This window comes from Homo sapiens, chromosome 5, assembly GCF_000001405.40.
Source record: "Homo sapiens chromosome 5, GRCh38.p14 Primary Assembly".
NCBI classification, from domain to species: Eukaryota; Metazoa; Chordata; class Mammalia; order Primates; family Hominidae; genus Homo; species Homo sapiens.
Window position 1 is genome coordinate 114,349,901 of NC_000005.10, and position 24,252 is coordinate 114,374,152.

The 24,252-nt window shown below is 38.9% G+C and overlaps 1 protein-coding gene across 5 annotated transcripts in view, besides 2 other annotated features; it reads left to right on the forward strand.

Moving 5' to 3' along the window:
- The window catches only part of KCNN2 (potassium calcium-activated channel subfamily N member 2), a 440,519-nt gene that overhangs the window by 293,923 nt on the left and 122,344 nt on the right, over positions 1-24,252 (forward strand). For 2 of the 5 annotated variants that reach the window (NM_001372233.1, XM_011543389.2), the window contains 3 exons: positions 11,045-11,250; positions 12,064-13,361; positions 14,006-14,101. In NM_001372233.1, coding sequence (NP_001359162.1) covers positions 11,229-11,250; positions 12,064-13,361; positions 14,006-14,101 — 1,416 coding nt within the window. In that variant the 5' untranslated portion in view covers positions 11,045-11,228. Of the gene's footprint in view, positions 1-11,044; positions 13,362-14,005; positions 14,102-24,252 lie in introns of those variants that run through there. The other 3 variants (NR_174097.1, NM_021614.4, XM_047417166.1) reach the window with 2 other exon arrangements.
- Positions 10,283-11,199: an enhancer, noted in NCBI's record as "OCT4-NANOG-H3K27ac-H3K4me1 hESC enhancer chr5:113695880-113696796 (GRCh37/hg19 assembly coordinates)". NCBI's record gives its function as "activates a minimal SCP1, AML or CMV promoter by ChIP-STARR-seq in primed H9 embryonic stem cells {active_cell/tissue: H9 hESC(primed)}" and the evidence as "EXISTENCE:reporter gene assay evidence [ECO:0000049][PMID:30033119]".
- Positions 11,238-11,447: a silencer, noted in NCBI's record as "silent region_16244". NCBI's record gives its function as "represses an Ori minimal core promoter by ATAC-STARR-seq in GM12878 lymphoblastoid cells {active_cell/tissue: GM12878}" and the evidence as "EXISTENCE:reporter gene assay evidence [ECO:0000049][PMID:35858748]".

Sequence of the window (24,252 nt, forward strand, 5' to 3'; positions counted from 1 at the left end):
TTGACAACACTTGCTATTATCTGTCTTTTTAAATATAGGCATCCTAGTGGGTGTGAAGTATCAAATTGTGGTTTCGATTTGCATTTCTTTAGTGGCCAATGATGTAGTGCCTATGCTTTTCATGTGCCCATTGACCATTTTTATGTCTTCTTTGGATAAATGTCTATTCAGAGATTTTGCCTTTGGCTTATTTATTCTTTTAAATTTTTTTAAATTATTTTTATTTGCAATTGACACAGAATTGTACATATTTATAGGATACAGTATGATGTTTCGATGCATGTATACACTATATAATGATCACATCAGGATAATTACCATATCTATCACTTTAACATTTATTATTTGTTTGTGGTGATAACATTCAAAATCTTACCTTTTAGTTATCTTGAAATACACATTACATATTTATTATTTTTATAATTGAGTTATAAGAGTTCTTTATATACTATGGATTCAAGTCCCTTTTCACATCTATGATTTGTAAATATTTTCTCCCATTCTGTAGGTAGTCTTTTCACTTTCCTGATGGTATCCTTTGAAGCACAAGTTTTTTATTTTGATTAAGCCCAATTTGTCTATGTTTTTCCTTTGTAGCTTATGCTTTTAGTATTATATCTAAAATACCACTGCTGAGGTCACAAGCTCACAATGATTCACTCAAATGCTTTGAGTTTTACAGTTTATTCCATACATTTAGGTCTTTGATCTATTTTGAGTTAATTTGTTTGCATTGTGTAAAGAAAGGGTCCAGGTTCATGTTTTTGCATGTGAATATCCAGTTTTCCTAGCACTTTTTGTGGAAAAGATTGTTCTATCCCCCAATGAATTATCTAGGCACCCTTATTAAAGGTCAATCAGTCATAAATGTAAAGGTTTATTTCTGGACTCTCAATTCTGTTTCATTGGTCCTACATATCTATGTTATGCCATTACCACACTATCTTGATTACTATACCTTTGCAGTAAGTTTCCACTCAACAAGTGTGCATCCTCCAACTTTATTCTATTTAAAGATTGCTTTGTCTATTCTTGGCTATTTGCATTTCTATATGAATGTTAGGGTCAGTTTGCCAATTTCTCCCAAACCCTATCAGCTAGGATTTTGATAGGGATTTGATTGTATCTGTGGGTCAGTTTAGAGACTCTTGCCATTTTAACAATATTAAGTATTTTGCCTTGGGAGCATAGATTGTATCTTCATTAATTTGTGCATTCTTTAATTTATTTAAATATTTTTTACTTTCAGAGTATCAGTTTTGTACTTTTGTTGTTACATTTCTAATTATTGTATTCTTTTTGATGACTTTACAAATGCAATCATTTTGAAATTTCATTTTTAGGTTGTTCATTACTAGTGTATTGTAGTACAATTGATTTGTATTGATGTTGACCTTGTATGTAGAAACCTGCTGATCCTGTTTATTAGTTCTAAGAGCATTTTAGTGAATTCCTTAAGATTTTCTAGATCCACAGTCATGTCCTGTATAAAGAGATAGGTTGATTACTTCTTATCTATCTGAATACCTTTTGTTTCTTTTTATTACCTAACTGTACTGGCTAGAATTTCTAATACAATGTTTAATAAAAGTGGGAAGAACAAATATTGTTCTCTCATATCGATCTTAAGGGAAAAGCCATTTAGTCTCTCACCAGTAAGTATGATATTAGTAGTAGATTTTTTTCATGGATGTCGTCTATCAAGCTGAGGAAGTCCTGTTCAACCTCTTCCTGGTATTCCTACTTTGTTGAGTGTGTTTATCATGAAAGAGTTTTGGATTTTGTCAAATATTTTTTCTGTGTCCATTGAGATGATTATATGGTTATTTTGCTTTATTGTATTGATAGTTTGTATTACACTAATTAATTTTATAACACTAAACTATGTATTCTTATGATAATTCCAACTTGGTCATGTATATAACTTTGTATGTTGCTGTATTTGGATTGGTTGTATTCTGTTGAAGATTTTTGCATCTATATACATAAATGTAGTTTTCTTATGATGTCTTTCATTTTGATATCAGGGTAATACTGGCCTTTTAAAATGGGTTCGGAAGTGTTTTTCCTCCTCTATTTTTTGGGAAAGGTTTGTGAAAAATTGCTATTAATTGTGTTAAGTATACTACAGATTCACCAGCGAAGCCAACAGGGCCTGGCCATTTCTTCATAGAAAGTTAAAAAATTTCTAATACAATTACTTTACTTTGTACAGGCCCATTCAAATTTTCTACTTAATCACGGTCAGTTTTTGTATTTTCTAGCAATTTTCTCATTTTATTTAAGTCATCAATTTGTTGGCATATACTTGTTTATCTCATTCTCTTATAATCCTTTTCATTTCTGTAAGGTTAGTAGTGATGCCCTCTATTTATTACCAGATTTTAGTAATATGCTCTTCTCTCTCTTTCTCTTTCTTTTTTTTTCCTGGTCAGTCTACTAAAGGTTCATCAATTTTATTGATCTTTTCAAAAACTAATTTTTATTTTCAATGATATGTTCTGTTTTTTATTGCCATTGTTAACTTCCACTCTAGTCTTCATGATTCCTTCTGCCTTGTTCTCTTCTTTTCTCATAAAGTAATATGTTACTTTTTTCTTAAAGTAATATGTTAGCTTATTGATTTGAAATATTTCATCTTTTTCCAATTTACATATTTATGGCTAAGAATTTCCCTCTATGCATGGCTTTAGGTGCATCCTGTAGGTTTTTGCATGTTGTGATTTTGTTTTCATTTATCTTTAAATATTTTCTAATTCCCATTGTGATTTCTTCTTTGATTCTTATTTAGGAGTGTGCTGTTTAATATTTACGTATTTCTGAATTTCCCAAAATTTTAAAGAATTTGTATAAATATACGAGGTACAAGTGCAATTTTGTTACAAGCATAGATTACATAATGGTCAAGTCAGGCTATTTTGGACAATGTTCCTTGTGCACGTGAGAAAAATGTGTGTTCTGCTGTTGCTGAGGAGAATGTTCTGTAAATGTCTGTGAGGTACAGTTGGTTTATACTGCTGTTAACATTTTCTGTATTCTTGTTAATCCTCTGCATAGCTGTTCTAACCATTATTAAAAGTAGACTATTAAAGTCTCTATTATTATTGAATTGGCTAATTGTACTTTCAATTCTGGCAGTTTGCTTCATGTATCTTGGGATTCTGTTTTTATGCACATATATGTATTTAAAATTGTTGTATTTTCCTGATGGACTGGCATTTTGTCCTTATAAAATTGTCTTCTTTGTCTCCAGTTACATTTTTTTTTTCTTAAAGTCCATTTTGGCTGTACTAATGTAGCCACTCCAATACTTATATGGTTGTTGTTTGCATGGTATAACAGACAGTAGATATGTATTTATAGAACTTGTTATACTAACCTATTTATTTACCTTTTCTGGTCCTCTTCATTTCTTCCTGTGAATTCAAATTACCATCTGGTGTCATTTCTGTACTTCGATATGTCTTTCTTCTACCTCAATCCTTTGTGCTGTTATTGTCAAATGTGTTAAATTTCTATATTATAGACCAAGCAGTATAATTATATATTCATTATTTTAAGGTATTTTATTTAATCAGGAGAAATTTAAAAATATGAAATTATATTGTTTTTTATAGTTACCCACATAATTACCACTGGCGCTCTTTTTCTGTGTGTGTGTAGATTCAAATTACTGTTTGATGTTATCTGCTTTCAGCCTGAAAGCTTTCTTTAGCATTTCTGGAAAGGCAAGTCTGTTAGCATTACATTCTCTCAGTTTTTATTTCTCTGGGAAACTATTTGTCTTCATGTTTGTTAACGTTACTAAATATTTTCTTAATTTACAGATTTGTTTTTCTTTCAGTGCTTTGAATATACCATCCCACTGCCTTCTGGTCACTATTGTTTAGTGATGAGAAGTCAGTGGTTGATCTTATTGGTGCTCTCCTGTACTTGGCATGTTATTTTTCTTTACCTATTCCAAAATTTTCCCTTTTTGACTATGCTGTTTCTGGGTATGGATTGCTTTAGTTTATCCTAAAGTTTGTTGAATTTCTTGGAGGTGTAGATGAATGTTTTTATCAAATTTGGAAAGTTTTCAGCTATTATTTCTTTGAATATTTTTTCTGTCTTTTTTCTCTTTTTTCTTTTGGTCTTCCATTTCATGTCTCTTGGTGCATGTAGTGGTGTCTCACATTTCTCTGAGGTGCTGGGGGTTTTCTTATTATTATGCTTTCTTTTCTCTGTTCTTCAGATTGCATAATCTTCATCAGTGTATTTTCAGTTTATTGATTCTTTTTCTGCTGGCTCAAATTTATCATTGAATTTTTCATATGGTTACTCTACTTTTCAACTCCAAAATTTCAATTAGATTCTTTTAAATAATTTCTGTTTATTTATCAATATTCTCTGTTTGATGAGTCATTCCCATCATACCTCCCTTTAACCATTCTTTATAGTTCAGAGTTGGGCATGTGAAGGAAGCTGGTTCAATTAGATATACTAGAAAATTGTTTGGAAAGTTGGGGCAGAGGATGACCTTCTTCCCTCTGAATGATTTGGGTATGAATATGAGGGCTAAAACTGCTACAGCTCTTTTTGCTACCATGAGGTAAGTTAACCTGAGGATTAAGCCAATACATATGAAGGAGGAGAATAATAAAATATCTAAGGAAACTGAAACACTGGTTGAAACACTGATGATGTCTTAACCTCTGAATCAAATAGCATTGAAGTTTTACCTAATAATACTTTCAGTTATATGAGCTAGGAAGTACTCCTTGTTAAGAAAATTTAACTTGTGAAAGTATCCAATAGTTTCAACTAATTAAAACAGGTTTTAGGAAGGACTCATCCTAAGTAGTGAGAAAAAAATGTTGTATTTATTAAATAGTAAGTTTTGTCATTAAATTTGTCTAGCATATATCTGTTGTGTTTTTCCCCTGATATTTTACATAATGTATATTGTTTTGTATGACCTAATTATTGTACATTAATAATTAAAACAGAACAAAAGTGCTAATGGATTTACAGCCATAAGACAAAACAGCAGTAATCCAGAATTAAACTCATTTTTAAGACAACCCTTGCTTAGAAGATAAATATGAATATGCAAACCTTGGTAATTTATTTACATCTGGAGTGTTTTGTTGCTGGTGACATTGTTACATTTAATTTAACTTAGCAAATTGTGGTTCTTTCCCTTTGTATGAGTAGGCACCAACTCTCTCCTGGCACTGAAACAATTATTAGGGGACTGGGATTTACAAATATTCCCAGAAAGAGAGAGAATAACATAAAGTTAGACGAAGAGTAGTAGATTTTCTGAGCCTGTTTGGCAAGAGGTAGATAAGAATAAGGCAAACATAGTAATAGGGAGTTCATGAATAACACACGGAAAGAGAACTTACAGGGCTGTGATCAGGAAACGAGAAAAATGAGTCAATATATCTTGTGCCCTAACACTGTATGGAAGAAGAAAATAATTATGAAAATATACACTGGATTTCAAAGGGAAAATAAACCTTCAGTTTTTAGCCTCCCTATGTTTTAGCACTGAGCAACCAGAGAACTTTTGAGATTTCCAAGTGTAAGCTTTCACCTCAGTATTTAGGGCTAGTTTTAATATATTTGGTTCCACTTTTGCTAACTCTTTAAGCCAACTGTGGGACACACTGGTTTTTCTCTCCTTGTGGCGTGCAGCCTGGCTTCCTTTCTCCGGTTCTCTCACTCTTTGGCATAAAAGGAGAAGCAGTGAGAGGACAAGTCTGCCAGAGTAGGAGCCAAGGAACCAAACTGGATGCCTGCAAGACTGCAGACAAGTTCCTCTGAGCTGCAGGGTGAAGAATTTGAGCCTGCTCCTCCTCCCTTATTATTTGAAAAAACTAAATAGCATTTGCCAGTGTCAATATTACCAAAAATTAGGAATCTACAGGCTGGCAGCAAAGTAGATAGAAGAGTGTGTCTGAATACATCAGTATCTGTATTTTTAAAATACATTTTAATTAGGTACCTTGGACCTGCAGGCATATAGCACTGCTATTTCATCTACATTTGTATTATATCCTCACAAATTATTCTGTTGATCAAATGAAGTCAACAAGAGGACAATAGTTAAGGATCAGAGAAACGAAAAAGCCAGTGAGGAAATGTCTGTGAGGCCCTTCACAGGTAGTTTCTACTAATGAGAGGCGACTATATTCTTCAGCTGTGAAGAAGAGCTAGCAGAGTGTAAAACAGACCCACAGAAAAATTCAGAAGATTGTATTTGAAGTCTGGCTTCTCTTTGCTGCTCACTAGCTAGCTATGTCACCTTGGGTAGGGTAGGCACTGCATTTCAGATATTTTCGTTACTTGTAAAACGGAGTTGATGATAAAACCTTTTCCTGCCTTCCATATGGCTTGTTGTGAGATGCAAATAAAATAAACACATAAGAAACTACTTTATAAACTAGAATGTGCTGTCTGCTAAGTTTTATGACTTTCTAGATTTGGGTGTTGTGTTTCTAGCTGCCAAAGGATATTTGTTCATGAAATCCAGATTATTTTAATAAGACTTAGCATACACAATGATTTCTACCTGTTCACCCATTTAATTAACACAAGTTCTACTAGCAAACTCAGTATGAGTTTTACTTTTGTCTTTTTTTGCTGGCATTGCAGAGACTTTTATAGATATGCTAACTAGCTGAGAAACGGTAGGAGACAAGGGTGAGAACAGGAAAAACTGAAAAGTTAGGAAGTGAATGGATAGGCCCTAACACAATAATTAGCCCCTAAAAAAATAGAGGTATTGCTAAAAATTTATAAGACCATCACCAATATGCTCATTCATGTCTTGATACTTTATAATCATAAGGCAGAAGTATGAAGAACACATATAATAATTATGATTTTTATGTTTTCTTCAAATTAGTAGATTTCTTATAAAGTGGGGCAATGTGTGATTTAAAAATAATGGTGTTTTTAGGGCCTTTTAATTGTTATGTTTCCAGAAACATGGAATTATTACTGTGCTAAGGAAATAAATGATACTATCCTGATTCCCCACTGGCATTTATTGCTAAGGACAGTAAGTTCAGAGTGGCGGTGTCTCATCACAACCTCTGCGTTTGGCACCACCAAATATTGTAGTTGACTCACCCAGGCAAAGAAAAAAATAATTCTCAGAAAAACATTTACTTTGTAGGTCAAAATTTTCCTTCAGACCACCCCAATATGGGAAACAGATGCCAGGGACCCCTGGTCTGATTGAATTTGGAAATATACCAAAAACACCCAAAGTCAAGAGAACCCTGCTTTTTAAGGTACAACAAAAAGACATAGCATAGACAATACTATAAAGAAGAGAATTATGAACAATGGCATAATAGAAATTTGAATAAAATAAGGGATTGGAGTGCAAACAACATGAAATTTTTTTTTTTTTTTAATTATACTTTAACTTTTAGGGTACATGTGCACATTGTGCAGCTTAGTTACATATGTATACATGTGCCATGCTGGTGCGCTGCACCCACTAACTCGTCATCTAGCATTAGGTATATCTCCCGATGCTATCCCTCCCCCCTCCCCCCACCCCACAACAGTCCCCAGAGTGTGATATTCCCCTTCCTGTGTCCATGTGATCTCATTGTTCAGTTCCCACCTATGAGTGAGAATATGCGGTGTTTGGTTTTTTGTTCTTGCGATAGTTTACTGAGAATGATGATTTCCAATTTCATCCATGTCCCTACAAAGGACATGAACTCATCATTTTTTATGGCTGCATAGTATTCCATGGTGTATATGTGCCACATTTTCTTAATCCAGTCTATCATTGTTGGACATTTGGGTTGGTTCCAAGTCTTTGCTATTGTGAATAATGCCGCAATAAACATACGTGTGCATGTGTCTTTATAGCAGCATGATTTATAGTCCTTTGGGTATATACCCAGTAATGGGGTGGCTGGGTCAAATGGTGTTTCCAGTTCTAGATCCCTGAGGAATCGCCACACTGACTTCCACAATGGTTGAACTAGTTTACAGTCCCACCAACAGTGTAAAAGTGTTCCTATTTCTCCACATCCTCTCCAGCACCTGTTGTTTCCTGACTTTTTAATGATCACCATTCTAACTGGTGTGAGATGGTATCTCATTGTGGTTTTGATTTGCATTTCTCTGATGGCCAGTGATGATGAGCATTTTTTCATGTGTTTTTTGGCTGCATAAATGTCTTCCTTTATGCAGCCAAAAAACACATGACTAAAGAGCTTCTGCACAGCAAAAGAAACTACCATCAGAGTGAACAGGCAACCTACGAAATGGGAGAAAATTTTCGCAACCTACTCATCTGACAAAGGGCTAATATCCAGAATCTACAATGAACTCAAACAAATTTACAAGAAAAAAACAAACAACCCCATCAAAAAGTGGGCGAAGGAGATGAAGTTTTTTTCCCAAGCTCCTGTGGTCTGAAAAAAGACATGCTTCTAAGAAAATGTGTTTGTGTGTGGGATGGGTGTTTGTGTGCGTGTTCACAAGCTTGAAATTCAACAAACATGGGAAAGCAATTGTTGTAGGCCATAAGAAAAAAATAGGCAATTTTTATTAAAAAGTGATGCTGGAAATAGATTTAATTGATTAGATTTGAAATACATTTTGTGGCTGAGTATGACCTCTGGTGTTAATCTAGGGAAATTCTCTCACTTATATGCTTTAATGGAACAAAAAGAAGGAAATTTAATTTTCTGAAAGCTTATCACTGGAAGTCATAGCCCTTGATCTGCGTCTTTTTTTTTCCCCCAATGTTTCTTCATTTCCTTCCTCTCTCCTTCTCTCTGTACTCACAAATATAAATAAGTATCTACTATGTGCAAACTACTATCCACGTGGAAGAATATTGCCTTTGTTGCTTCATTTAACTTTACATGTTACATGTATCTCTACAGTCCTGTGTAGAAAAAAAAGAAATCATGTTATGCACATTTTAAATGTCTACATATAAACTTAAAATTTGTTGACTTTATTAAAAGAGGAATGATGAAAATAAGAACTTCTTAAATGTGCCTGTTATAACCTAATAGTGTAAAATGCCTTAAATAATGAAGTTATGATTCAGACTAAAAATGAAACAAAATTATCTTGTGTTTTTTCATCATCATAGTAATACAGGTTTACCACACTCTCAATATACAGATATTTATTAGCAAGACGGCTGAGTGTGTGTAATCAGTTGATTTCTTAACAGAAAGCCGATAAATGTCTGATTGATTTGCTCTCTGTCCAATCACAGTGAGTTTTACATTATTAAATTATTTTATGAGCTTTTTCAAAATAGTGCTAGCCGGAAGTAGTATTAGTCTGAGTTTTGGTGTTCCGACAGTCCCTCATGTTGTGAATCAAATTTCCATTTTCTTCTGAATTTTGTGCATTCTATCCTCCTGTGTACCCCCTTGAAGAGAAGTGAGAACTCCATGCAACATTGCCATAAATCTCAGTAGGCAATTTCTGAGATGATTATTTCTACATGATTTCTACATGATTAATAGCACTGCAACTAATCCCATATTACAGCATAGAGATATACATGGCAAAAGATACATTTTTGCCTATTATTTTGGTTTTGGAGCCTCTGTTGAAGCCGTGAATTTGCTATTTGACAAAGTCAGTTTGACACAAGGGATGCAGCCATTATTTTTCTTATGACAGTTTAGTAACTGTAGAACCTTATATCTAATTTAATGCTGGCAACAACTATTATGATATTTCAGGGGTGGAGGCTATGTAATCTTTTATCTAAATTTATGAACGGCTAATAAAAATATTTATTAATTTACCATAATGTTCCTTTGAAGTATTTAGATTTGTAAGGATGAATCAAACATTTTCACTCAATCGCTACGTATAGCAACTGGAAAGCTACATAATTTGTTGAAAAGCGTCCTAATACATGTTTGATGGATTTTCCGCATGAGTTGAATTTCTTTTTCAGACCAGGTTAGTAACTTTTCATAGGGAAACTTTCATTTTAATTCAAATTACTTCGCAGGATTGTTTTGAATACTCATGCTTTCCACACAATTTATGCAGTATCTACTCAGCTGCCCCGAAGACTCAATTAGCTTCGTGATTCTAAAGAAGTTTTATTGAATTGCTATTTTGAAGATACAGAACAAAAATAGTAATAGATGATAAAAACAAAATGCTGTCTCTGATTGTTAGCCACTAAATTATATTCTTGACCAAGACCATTGAGAAATTCAATTCCGGACAGTATTAATTAGCTCAAGTCCAGGGCTACGGGACTAAAAGCAGCTGTGCACCCCCCACCCCTTTTTTTCTGCTGAATGTTTATTTGCACACACAAAAAATTAAAATTAACATGTGTCCAAAGAACATCATAAAATGAATTATTCATTCCATGGCATTGAAAGCGCACACACGCACACTCTGAAAAGCAGATACCAGGTAAGCAACTTTAGGGCAGCTGCCGAGTAGAATATCAAGAAATTGGATCCAGCTGAGAATTCCAATTACCTAATGACCTAATGAGGGTGATCCGCTTTCACTCTAATTGCTAGGTCTAACTCGTTGTAATAGTCTTTATCATGAAAAGCAGGCTTTAAAATAATTTAAAATGGAAACAAATATTCAACGGGCCAATTTCTTTCACCTTCTTTAGGGGGAGACGGGAATTTGAATTCACAAAGAAATGCAAATGTAAAGACTTAAGATGGAGCAGAAACAAAGAACATAAGGATCACCTAGTGCATTGTGTTGGTACATCTCTTAGAAGAAGACAGCACAGGGAATTTGTGAGACACCAAATGCAATTTTTGTTAGTTTATTAGAGAGTAAATAAATAAATAATGATACCGAACTCCAACAAAACTCCAGCACTGTCCGTGGGCAGCGACTATTCAGCCCAAGCTATCATTCTTAATTTCCCTGCCAGGCTGCGACTACCGGGGTGAATCAGCCCGCGCCAGGCCCCTTTCCCACCCGCCGCTGCAGTTAGGACTTGGCAAAGATGCTCGATATTTGCGTATTTGTGACCGGTCTTTGCTTTGTGTCTGCGCTGCAGGTGAGGAGGAGGAAGAGAAGCAGAAGAGCAGCTGGAGGCCGGCGGTGGCTGAGCAGCCCCCACACCTTTGAGCGAGCCGCCTGCCTCTCCACCGGCAAGGAAGCCCTGGGACCTCCGGATTCGGGCTGCCGGAGGGCCTGAGCGCCAGAGCCCAGGACCCGGCGGCCGGGGGCGCCATCCCCTCATGTTCTGGAGAAGGCGCAAATGTGAGCTGGCGGTAGCGGGGAAAGCCCTCCGCCCCCGCCAGGGGGGACCCGGGAAGCCCGGCCGGCTCTGTCGGCAGACTGCGGGGATCCCCTCCTCCGGCCCCGCCCCCACCCACCCCCGGCCGGGGTGCCGAGGCGGTTAACCCTACCCGCGCCGCAGCGCACTTGGGCTAGAGCGCCGCGCACCCAATCCAGATTCCAGAGCCTGCCGGCTGGGAAAGATCCGGTCTCGGGGTCGGCTATGATCCCGCAGCGGCCAAGGCAGGGCTCAGGCCCCGGGATTCTCCCCACACGCTGCTGCACTGGCGCAGCCGGTCGCCAAACTTTTTCTCCCCAAAGCCAGTGCCCCCGCAGTTACTTGGCGGGCAGCCGGCAGCCCACTCTCGGCGGGATGATCTGGGAGAAGCGGGCGTGGGACGAGGGGGCTGCTGTTTTGCAGCCCTGCGAGGCGTGCAGTCGGAGAAGTGGTCGGGGTTCCACACCGTCCCTGAGCCTGCCCCCGGCCAAGGTGGCCCGACGTGCTGCAGTGGCTGGCGCAGGTGATCCGGGCAGCGCGTCCGGCACTAGTCAAGGGGGCAGCGGCACGGGAGGGAGGGGCGCCTTTCTCTTTTCTCCTCCCCCTGCAGCCCAGCTGCACTGCGTGGGGGCTCTCCATCTCCACGCAATCAGCAGGCGGAATCCCTGCCCTGGAGCGCCCTGGCTCTGGACTGCACCCCCCTAGGGTTTGTCCTGCAGATTCCCCTCCCCATCTTTCTCTGCCACACACGCTTCCCTAAGCCGCGCGCGCCGCAAACTCAGTCTCGGTCCCCGCAGGTGATGTCATGCCCATTGTTTTGGTGCGCCCAACCAATCGGACTCGCCGCCTGGATTCTACCGGAGCCGGCATGGGCCCTTCCTCGCACCAGCAGCAGGAGTCCCCGCTCCCGACCATAACGCATTGCGCAGGGTGCACCACCGCTTGGTCTCCCTGCAGCTTTAACAGCCCTGACATGGAAACCCCATTGCAGTTCCAGCGCGGCTTCTTCCCAGAGCAGCCGCCGCCGCCGCCGCGCTCCTCACACCTGCATTGCCAGCAGCAGCAACAGAGCCAGGACAAGCCGTGCCCGCCCTTCGCGCCCCTCCCGCACCCTCACCACCACCCGCACCTCGCGCACCAGCAGCCGGCCAGCGGCGGCAGCAGCCCATGCCTCCGGTGCAACAGCTGCGCCTCCTCCGGTGCCCCGGCGGCGGGGGCGGGAGATAACCTGTCCCTGCTGCTCCGCACCTCCTCGCCCGGCGGCGCCTTCCGGACCCGCACCTCCTCGCCGCTGTCGGGCTCGTCCTGCTGCTGCTGCTGCTGCTCGTCGCGCCGGGGCAGCCAGCTCAATGTGAGCGAGCTGACGCCGTCCAGCCATGCCAGTGCGCTCCGGCAGCAGTACGCGCAGCAGTCCGCGCAGCAGTCGGCGTCCGCCTCCCAGTACCACCAGTGCCACAGCCTGCAGCCCGCCGCCAGCCCCACGGGCAGCCTCGGCAGTCTGGGCTCCGGGCCCCCGCTCTCGCACCACCACCACCACCCGCACCCGGCGCACCACCAGCACCACCAGCCCCAGGCGCGCCGCGAGAGCAACCCCTTCACCGAAATAGCCATGAGCAGCTGCAGGTACAACGGGGGCGTCATGCGGCCGCTCAGCAACTTGAGCGCGTCCCGCCGGAACCTGCACGAGATGGACTCAGAGGCGCAGCCCCTGCAGCCCCCCGCGTCTGTCGGAGGAGGTGGCGGCGCGTCCTCCCCGTCTGCAGCCGCTGCCGCCGCCGCCGCTGTTTCGTCCTCAGCCCCCGAGATCGTGGTGTCTAAGCCCGAGCACAACAACTCCAACAACCTGGCGCTCTATGGAACCGGCGGCGGAGGCAGCACTGGAGGAGGCGGCGGCGGTGGCGGGAGCGGGCACGGCAGCAGCAGTGGCACCAAGTCCAGCAAAAAGAAAAACCAGAACATCGGCTACAAGCTGGGCCACCGGCGCGCCCTGTTCGAAAAGCGCAAGCGGCTCAGCGACTACGCGCTCATCTTCGGCATGTTCGGCATCGTGGTCATGGTCATCGAGACCGAGCTGTCGTGGGGCGCCTACGACAAGGTACAGGCTTGAACCCCAGCCCACGCTACCGGAGTCGGGCACTGGGTGGTTGGGATGGGCACTGGCGGGGACCCTTTGCGTGCGGATCCCTAGCCTCTCCGGGACGATCAAGGGAGCCCGCCAGGACAGCGGGCGCGTCTAGGACGCGCATCCGTAGTCAGCTAAACAACTCGGAGATGAACCCTTTCCGCGTGCAGCCAAAGTTCTCGAGGCAGTTAAGAGTGCTCAGCGCATTCGGGCACCTTAAGTAAGTGGTTCTGGAAGTCGGTGGGGAAACCATCTGTAATTCATCCCCTCGTGAATTATGTTTAGAAGGGCCCTTTCAACCCGCTCTCTTGAACTCAGAAGTAAGTTCCTCTGGTTTTGCTAGCCTGGAACAGCGGCGCTCGCTTCGGTCCTCTATGGCGTGGACCCAGCAGCCCAGCCACGCGTCTTCCCAGTCTTTCCAGGTCTACTCTCGTCTCTTTTGGTTTTGAGGCCGAGTGATCTGACAGATCACAGAGCCAAGACAGGTGCACCCCTCTCCCCTTATCTTCCTTCTGTGAGTTCAGGTCCACCTGTGGGGGACTGACTGACTCTGGGGACGTGGAAGGCGGTTAAAAGTGCTTCTTTCTTAAAAGTGCTTCTGTCTGACTGTGTTGCAGGCGTCGCTGTATTCCTTAGCTCTGAAATGCCTTATCAGTCTCTCCACGATCATCCTGCTCGGTCTGATCATCGTGTACCACGCCAGGGAAATACAGGTAACTTAGGTCCTGCTGTTTATGAATGACCCAAAGCCCTACAGTCAGCCTAGAGAAACGCAAGGCAGCAGAGGCTTTTTTCAAGCCATCATGTCCTTGCTTGAGGTTACAGAAGACACATGCTGTATTGTTACCGTTAGCACCTGACCTGTTCTTTCAGGAAGTGGAAAACAACACAAGGCAGGGTAGCATATAAACATGCAGCATTTTCTGAGGTGTATTTGTTGGACCCTTAAGATTTTTACTTCTCTTCAGTAGGTGGATCCTTTTCTCCAGATCAGTCACATTTTGTTCCTTAAGGCCAGTTATGCTCTAGTTTTAATCTGGAATGAACTTGTGTTCTTGTTTGAGACACCTCTTCCTAGTGGGTGCGTCATTATGGGAGATTGTATCTATCTATATAATCTTCTGTAATTTAGCATAGAGAAGAAAACTGGGTGATGAGTTGCCAGCTAATTTATATAAATGAGATATGGGAAAAGATCTAACCCCTTCCTAAATCCCCCACCATTAAAAAAAACTGTTGTAAGTTTAGAATGCAAATTCTGTGTATCCAGTCATGAAGTATTTTTTAAAATGTAATTTAAGAGTTAAGGCCACTGTCCTTGTGAGTTCTTTTTTTTTTTTTTGAAAATATTTCTTTTGTTTAAATGCAGCCAGGAGCTCTATATTTGACTGTTAGTATCCATATCAGAATGCTCTATAAAACTTACGGGTCATCTTGTCAGTTGTTAGCCTACACAGGAATATTAAGGCTTTTAAATTAAAATAAGTATAGAGTTTTCAAAAATTAGATTGGGACTTTTTTCAGCTTAGAATTTGCACTGTGTGGGAGGCGCGGTGGCTCAGTCCTGTGGTCCTGGTGCATGAGAATTTGCACTATGTATTTTCTGAGTTTTTTTTTTTCTTTTTTGAGCAGTTGTTAGACATTTGGTGGTACTTTGAGACCCTTAATTTAGGCCATCTTCCTTTAGACTGCCTCAGATTTAAGCTGCCTTTCAATTTAAAATCTTATATAGGATTTGCCTTTGAAGTAATTTAGTATTAATTTAAATTAAATTAATTTTAAATTAGTAATTAGCAAACACAAAGTAAATATGGAAGAAATCGTTTTTAATGATGCCCAGACAAAATAGTGATGCACATTACTCCAAGTGCAGAGGGAGAAATTACTTCACGTTGCCTTTATACTTGTAAAACTTTGAAAAATGTGTTTTTGAAGGGATGAGGTTGGAGAATGATAATTAGAAAGAGTGAGACTACTCAGAAATAAATTACAAAACTGCACTGACAAAATGAGATGAACACACATTTGAATTTTTTAAAGTTTTAACAGTTTACATAGATTCATCTTTAATTCAATACTAGTGATGGTTGGGCTTTTGAGATTATTTTGAACATTTTAAAGTGATACTAAAATATAACTTAAACATTAGAAATTTATCTTTTCATTTTGACTTGAAGAGTAGACAATTAGAGCTGGAAGGAACAAAATAGGTTTAATGGTCCTTTGACTCAGTTTACAGATAAGGAATCTGAAATCAGCAGAGGTAGCTTGCCGGGCCACACAGCTAGACAGTGCACAGTGAGAACCAGCCCTATCCTAGCTTCCAGGCCATAATGCTTCCTCTGCGAGCTGCTGCTACATGCCAAAAACTGTGAAACGTGAATATTTCTTTTTCTGCAGTTTCCCTCTAAATCCAAAAGTTTGGTATATAAATTCAGTTAAACTTAAAAGATCATTCCAAAATGTTCTTACATATTTTTAAAAATCAAGTTAACTTGAAAAATGTTTTGTTTGGAGGACAGAGTCGTTTTGCTTAATGATTCTGAAATGAGAGATCTTGCTGGGTTTTATTAAATATCAGCTTTGTGTTATTGCCTGTTCCTTGTGAAAATCACACAGCTAAAGAAACATTCATGGGGGAGGACATTTGCTGGTATTAACATCAAAAACAAAGTGTCTTGAAAACATTGACTCTTTAAGAATTATTGGGAGATTTTTTGAAGTAATTCATAGGAGTCTAAGAGCTACCAAATGTTAACTATTTGAAAAAATTGATGTCATATTAGAACGCTTAAAATTTACAGAAGTTTATAAAAAATCATATTTTTATAGATTAATGCTTGAAAGCATTCCACTCATTGGCTAATTTTGAGGACCATTTCAATTATGCATATGCACATATATTTTGATTAGGGTATGTATTGCATGGGTGAGAAAAATGACATGGAATGACTCTCCACGGCAAATATGCACAGTGAACTTCCTTACTGTTGGTCAACATAAACGTTATAGAATGATATATGTTTTAAAATTCGGTTTATTTTATATGATATGTGGTTTCTGTTAAACCCACTATACTTAAGATAATTTCAAAATAGATGCTTGGGTCATGTCATTTAATTAATTTGGATGTAGCTTTTTTACTCGGTGTATTATCTAGAGGGATTTCTCCTTTAAGCTGAAGCTCCAAATTCTTATCTGAGATGCTTTTATTAAAAAATAAATAAATAAAATGGAGAAGGGCCAAACAAATGTGAAGACCCTGAACTGGAAGTCAAGAACCAGAAAAAGGTAAAGATGTTCTAATTTGTCCAGAGAAGAGCGTCAGCAGGGCTGTCAAATACCTTATTCTGAAACACAATGAAACCAACTGCTCAGGCTTATGTATATGCATGGAAAATGATGAATTGCCCCCCGCCCTCCTTTTTTACTTATTGATGTCACTGCTGTGGGTATATATGTTTTTTCATAAAAAGTTTTAAGCTAATGAGCACTTCTCAGCTCACGCTAAATAATTCCAAATATATCAATTAGCTTTGAGTTAAGAAACTAAATGCAAGGTTATGCTGCCATTCATAGCGTGTCCTTGGATGTAGCATATAATCTAAAAGGACAGTTTAGCTTTTTCTTTTTAGCATATCAGTATGATAATCAGATAGTAAAAGCTCGCCAGTGCAGATTTCTGGTGCATGATATGATTTCTCACTGCATTCAGGAAAAGTAAGTGTTATAGCTGACTTTCTGGCTCTATGTCCTCTGGAATTGCTTAATGAAGCAAGAGGAGGCCCTGACATTTTCATGGAGAACCTTGGAAAGCAGATCCGTGTGACCTTTTATAAAATGTTTATACACACTCTGGCAAAACAAGATGGTTCAGGTGAGTCATGGATGGAAGTGCTTGTATTAAAACAGTATGATGGGGAGGCTTTGTAAGATACCAGCTCAGTAGATTTCAGCTTTGGTGTCATTTTTCAGTACCACAGACAGCTCAGTGCACCAGGCAACAATTTTGTTCATTTTACTAATTACTTTTATACCTCACTACCAAAAATGAAATCACATTTTGGTCGTAATACTTATAAAACATCAGATTTAGTAGGAGTAATTTTTAGCTAAGGAGATGTTAGACTTTTTCAGGTGATATTGAACTTGTTTTCTATATCTATCAGTAAAGCTAAAAAATAAATGAACACATAAATTTTAATAAATGCCTATGTATCATGACCTTATGACAAAAGAAAACATAATAGCGATTATTTTTGTACAGTTTGGAAAGGTCCCTTGATATTAAGTAAGTAGCCTTCCTACCTCAAGTCTCAAGGTCAAATTATAGGTAAAACAGAAGCATGCTTTTCAGTGACATTTTTTTTTTTTTTACCCCACCCCACAGTGGGGTTGGAGATGCATCTCTGATGGATAAAGTACAAAACGGAGTTCAACTATCCTTTAAGATCTTCAGCATCTGAAATTTTCAGTGTAGCTTCCACTGCATCTTTTCAGCTTTAGTATACTATTATTTTTCTTATAGAGGTAATTTTAGATGAAAGAGTTGTTTAGTACTTTGAGGTAGGCAAACATAAGATTCTAAGCAGGGACAGAAAACCCCTTGGACTAGTGCCTGATCTTTCTGGTTCTCATGGGTCCTGGAAGAATGGCAGATGATATACTTTGAATTGGAAAACATTTTCGTTTGTTTGTTTTTGTAATGTACAGCTGACTTTTGAACAACATGGGTGAACTGTGTGGATCCACTTATACACAGATTTTTTTTTTCCAGTAAATATAGTGGGCCCTCCATATCCATGGGTTCTGCATCAGCAAAAATACAGTATTCACTAGCTGTAAAACCCTCATACAGACGGTTGACTTTTCATTTATGTGGGTTGCAAAGTGCTGAAAATCTTAAGTATACATGGATTTTGGTGTCTGTGGGATTCCTGGAACTAATCCCCTGTGGTTACCAAGGGACAACTGTAATTATATAATAAATAGCATTAGGAGAAGCAACAATGTTTATTTGTCATCTTTTATGATGGAATAACTCTTTTCATCATCTTTAGAGTTGGCTTTTCAGAGATGGCTCTATAGCTCTATAATCGGAAGAACAGTAATGAAAATTTCTCTTCATTCGTGCACCAAGGCCACAGAAAACAGGAAAGAGTGAGTGAGGGTGGGGGCCTCACCTGGACTAGTTGGGGAGGGGTGGTCCCTGTCTACTAGTAGGCTCTGTGGTTTGCTATGTGAAGGCTCAAGTCTGAAGAAGAAAGACAGAGTGTTCCCTTTGCTACTTCTACAGAGAGCAAACAGGTGTTTGCAGACCATGCAGAAAATACTGCATATAGTTTACTATTTTTATTAATAAAATAACCAATACACATAATAAAAACAGTACAGCAGACTTTAGAATAAAAAGTGAAAGTCGCATTCTCTCAGTCATGTTTCTCAGAGGTAACCACTTTTAAGTTTTATATATATACCTTCAGAATTTCAATACGGAATATTTAGGAATACACCCATACCTTGCTTATATTCTGTATTATATCTTGGAGGTTTATCCTCAGCAGCAGTAGGGACCTATTTCATTTTTTTTTAGCAGGTACATGAGATCCTATTCTATGGATGTACTGTGGTTTACTTCACCAGCCCTGATCTGAGAGCCGATAGGCAAATTGGAGTTTTCTAAGTTTTTGCTGTTACAAGTAATATTAAAATGAACATCCTTATATATTTATTTTAATCTATTTAGAGTATATACATATGGTAAATTTTCAGCAGTGAGACTGCTGAATCAAAGGGAGTTTGCATTTTAAATGGAAAGGTATTGCCCACTAGTCTTCTAGAAAGGCCGTCAGAGTTTATGTCTCTGCTTTCTCACACGTTATTCCTCCACAGCATTGTGAACACTGGATGCTATAAAAATATTTATTAAAGAAATCTAAAAAGTTTACCATTTTCTTGCAAAACATTTTTTGGTGACAAATTGTTTAAAGACAAAGCTCAAGGCCTCAGGCTTCTTTGCATCTATTTTGTAATATCAGTGCGTTATCTAATCTGCCAGCAAATGGAGTTATCAGAAGCAAATGTTTCCCAAGTTTTATTATCTCAGTTAAAAAATTTTGGAGGAGGTTGTTGAAGATGAAGGAAGCTAAAAAAGTAGAAGAAATTATCTTGGATTGGTCTTAAGTTTTCTGCTATGGTAGTTTCATGTACCTATGAGGTGGATAAAAATTATAGCAACAGGTTGAAGGTAAGACTCCAAAAGATAGTGAGGTAGAAAACTTGCCTGAATTCCTTTGTTGAGTGGTGTTCAGCTCAGTGACTGATGTCTATATTGCCAGCATCCTCTATATCAGAAGTAATGAGATGCTCAGTCCCTTTGACTTTGTGTATACACTGTAGTAACGAAATCACTCAGGACTAATTTTCTCCGCCTGCTTGTGTAAAGATCTCTGCATTATTAATGGGTGTAACGCTAAATAAAGCTATCCTGGTGTGTTTACAGAGCAGCATCACAAATGAATGAAGAGTGGAACTTTAGGTTTACCACAAATGGGTTTTCTAGAGTATCCAACCTGTTTCTGGGCCATGTTTTGTACAGTTGAGAGATAAGGGCACTGTGGGCTGTCATCCCAAACCACGTTTGGCAGGGAGCACCAAGGCAGCCTGCGTTGATTTAACTTCAGAGAAGTTATATTCAGTTAGGATAGGAAGTGGTTTTGTGGGGTTGTTTTAGAGAGAATTTCTACTCATTAAGAAATAATATAATATTTGCTACTTTGGGAGTACATTTTCAACCTGAAACTCCTTAATAATTCTATTTATAAAACTAGAAAACACATGGAGGGATCTTAATTATTATTGGGCCCAGTATCCCACCCAGCATGAGAATGTCCTTTATGTCATTGTTAATAAAAGTGAGTCACCCAGTTCCTGCTTAAACTCTTTTCCCAAGATTGGCAGTTCATACACGTACAAGGCTGTTTCATTCTTAGCTCTTATTTTTAGTAAGATTTTACGTTCAGGTGAAGTCTCATTTTATTTATTCCATATTCAGCATTTTAAAAGTTTTTGAGGTCTGCAAATGCAATGAGGAATAAGACAGGAGGGGCCCTTTCCTCTTGGAGCTGATATTCCAAGGAGGAGGGGTTAAAGAGAGACAAAAAATTAATAATAAACAAAATTTTTGGAAGTTGTGATAAATTCCCTAGAGGAGAGACAAAGGGCTGAGATAGAAAGTTGGGAGGCAACAGTTGCATACATCAGACAGGACCATCAAGGGAGGACTTTCTGAGAAAGTGACATTTAAACTGAGACATAAAGGGAAAGAAGTATCCAGTATTGCCAGAGTCTGGGAACTACCTGTGTGAAGGCCTTATGACCAGGAATTTACTGTGCTTAAGCAAATGAGAGCAAACCAGCATAGCATAGCATAGGCCAAGCAGGAGCAGAATGGTACCAAACAGAATGGGAGGGGATAAAGGGGCCTGATTTTCAAGGACTTGAGACCATTGTAAGGATTTATGGATTCCGCCCCCCACCCCTCCCACATGCAGTGGGAAAGTCAGTAAAGAGTTTAAAGCAGGCAAGGCTCATGATCCAGCTGAATGTTTAAGCAGGCCTTGTTTTGATGCTGTGAGAATTGGTCTGGATACTATTAGGTAGTTGTTGGCAAGCTGATTCATAGAGATGATGCTCACCTGGCTTAATAGCATTCTTGCTTGTAGCAGCCATAGAGATGAGGAGAAGTGGGCTGATTGGAGGTAGAACAGACTTACCAGTGGATAGAATGTGGCAGGTAAGGGCAAGGGCCAATACAAAGATGATTGATGGGGTTCTGGTTGGAGCAACTGAGTGTGTTGTACTGAGAAGGGAAGACTCAAATTGAGGAGCAGGGTGTAGAATCAGGAATTTCTTTTAGCATAATATATTTGAAATTATGCTGATTGTATATGAGAGTCTGGAGTACAGAGGAAGTCTGTACCGGATATTTAAATTTGGGAGTTATCAGCACAGAGACTATTTAAACCCACAGGAATTGATGAAATCACTGAGAGAGAATAGAAAAATGAGAAGGTTGAGAGTTGATCATTCTCTGACATCTAGAGGTTGAGTAAAGTAAGAAGTAGAAAAAAGAGACAAGAATGAATTGTCCCTGAGGTGAAGGAGTCTAAGAGATAGGAGTGTTTTAAGGAGGGCATAGCACTCTATATTGAATGCTACCAAGGTCTCTTAACATGGGGTAGGGAAGTGCTTTTTGCATTTGGAAAATTGAAGGTCATTGCTGACCTTGATGAGCCGTTTCTGTGGAGTGGTTGAGACAGAAACAGACTGTAAGTTTTAGCATAAAAGAATAAGTTCATTTCCCTTTTCACAGGATCACAGAACAAACATTTTAACATTAGATCCATTTAAATGCCCTCCTAGTTAAATAGTCCAATTTCTTTGAATATTCCTTCTCAGACATTGAATGTCCCTGATCACATCCTTCTGGACTTACTCAGTTATGTTGAATTTCCTCTTCAAATGAGAAAGTCAGAAACATACCCAGCACTTTCAGATAGGATCTTCCAGTGGGGCTGTTACCTCTCTTCATCAAAAATGCTATATTATGCCGACTCTTATTAGTCTAAAATGGTCATTGCTTCACAGAAATTTGCCCAGTGACACGTAAAATTGTTATTGAACTAAATGCTCAGCTTTACGTTTACTAACCCTTTTAAATAGCATCTTGATTTCAGACCAGCATATCAGCCTGTCAGAATTGTTTGAATCATAATGCTAATGTTTATTTGACAAAACTTGTTTAGGTTTGGAAAATCCTGTGTGTGGATGATCTATGGAATTGGCAAGACTCCAGCGTTTAAATTGGTGCTAGATTCTGTTCCAGAAACGTGGTCGATATTGGTGGTTCTTACTTGGTTTGGATACCTGTCGTTGACACATTTGACTCTTCTTTCCTAGTTTTGTGCTAGCTGTGAGTTTGAAAAGTGAATCTTTGGACAAGCCAAGGTCAGAGTTTAGAAGTAGGCCCTTTTTGTTGTTGAGCCATCTGCTCATCCATGATGTTTGAACTCTATGAACTCTATTAGCCACCTCACATTTCTCTAGTTTGTGTACAAGAATTTTATGAGGACTTATTAAAACCTTATTAAAATCCACATTTTCTGTGTTTACTGCAGTGTCAGGATCTTTCAGTCTATTAGTGATATCCAAGAAGGAAATAAGACTGATTTGCTTGTAATTTTAGTATATAATATAAGCTTTATGACCTAATCCCTTTACTCTTAAAAATTTTATTTTTTCCCTTCAGATTATAAAATTAATAACTATTCATGTTAGAAAATTTGTGAAACATAGGAAAATATGAAAAGTAGTATAAATTAGTCTAATCTTACCACCCAGTGATGACTATTATTTATGTTACCATGTATTTATATAAAGTATATGGACATGCTATTTGATACGTTATTGTATAAGGAAATTTTATATTCTCTTCATGTAACTTTTTATTGTTTTTCCTCATGTTTAAACATTCTTAATATTGTAGATGCAAGTTTTCTTTCATTATGTAGATATAATCAATTTTATTATTTTCCCTATTTTGGACACTTAAAAATTAGAAATAACATATTTTAAACATTTTTTATAACAAATACCCTTGCACATTAACTTTTGTGAGCATCTCTTGTGATTTCCTAAGGATAAACTGCCAAGAGAGAAATTACTGAATTAAAGGGTATTATTTAAGACAACTGATAGCTTGTAAAATTATTCTTCCAAAAGTTTTTATCAGTCCTTTTATTTTTTAAATGCTTTCAAACCACTTTATTAAATGTGGTTTATTGAACTATGTGGCGAATTCTGCAGTATCTAGGTCCAGTGTGCCAGGTTCATTGAGTACTGTGCTGTGTAAATCTGGCAATTTGCTTCCCTGTGGACTCCTCTACCTTCCTAATTCTACATGATCTTGGTTTTGAAGTATTGGCTAAAAAGGCTTCTAAAAGGGTATCCCTTTTGAATAGTTAAAAACAATTATATAGAAACAATGGGAAAGCAATATTGGAAGATAACTGTCTCCAAATACTCCCAATTGTTTTCATTATAGGAAGCTTTAAAAGTGTGATTTCTGACAATTTTCTCTAAACTTTCCTGCTGAGCAGAGCAATAGGACTCTCCTTTGTGTTGACTGTTTTTACAACATAGTCTTGTGGCTTTGTGCATTCATTCCCAGCTCTGCCACTAATCAGCTGTGTGACCTTGGACAGGTTACTTAATCTCTCTGAACTTCAATTTTCTTGTCTGTAAAATGGGGAATATAGAGTACCTCTCTCATGGTGTTGTTATGAAGATTTTATATATATATATATATAAAATTACTTGGAACACTGCCTGGCATGTGGTAAGGGCTATTTACATGTCAGCTCTTGGTTATTGTTCACTATTTTGGAGTTTGTTGGGGTGGAAGGGGAGGAATTGGAGCTCAGCTTCTCTGGGCTTTAGAAAACTGTGATTTTTTTTTTTCCTTATGAAACTTATGAGAGAGAACAGGAAAAAAAAAGTGGCCATTCAAGCAGTCTTTATTAGTTTATTAACACTTAATCTAGGGTGTGTGTGCAAGCACATGCATATTTTTAAGTGAAAGCATTTGCTGTCTATTAAGGACAGCCATTTGTTTTTTTAAACAGATTTAGTTCTGAATCTTCCTGTGAGCAGGTTTGACTATCTTAGGAGAGAAGTAATAATTTTGTCTGTTAGGTTTTGGATCTGTAGTGATTGTTCAGGTACTATGATGTTAGGCTGACAGTTTGCACCAAAATGGCCATTTTCCACATAAACTTAACATGGATGTGGCTTCATCCTGGAA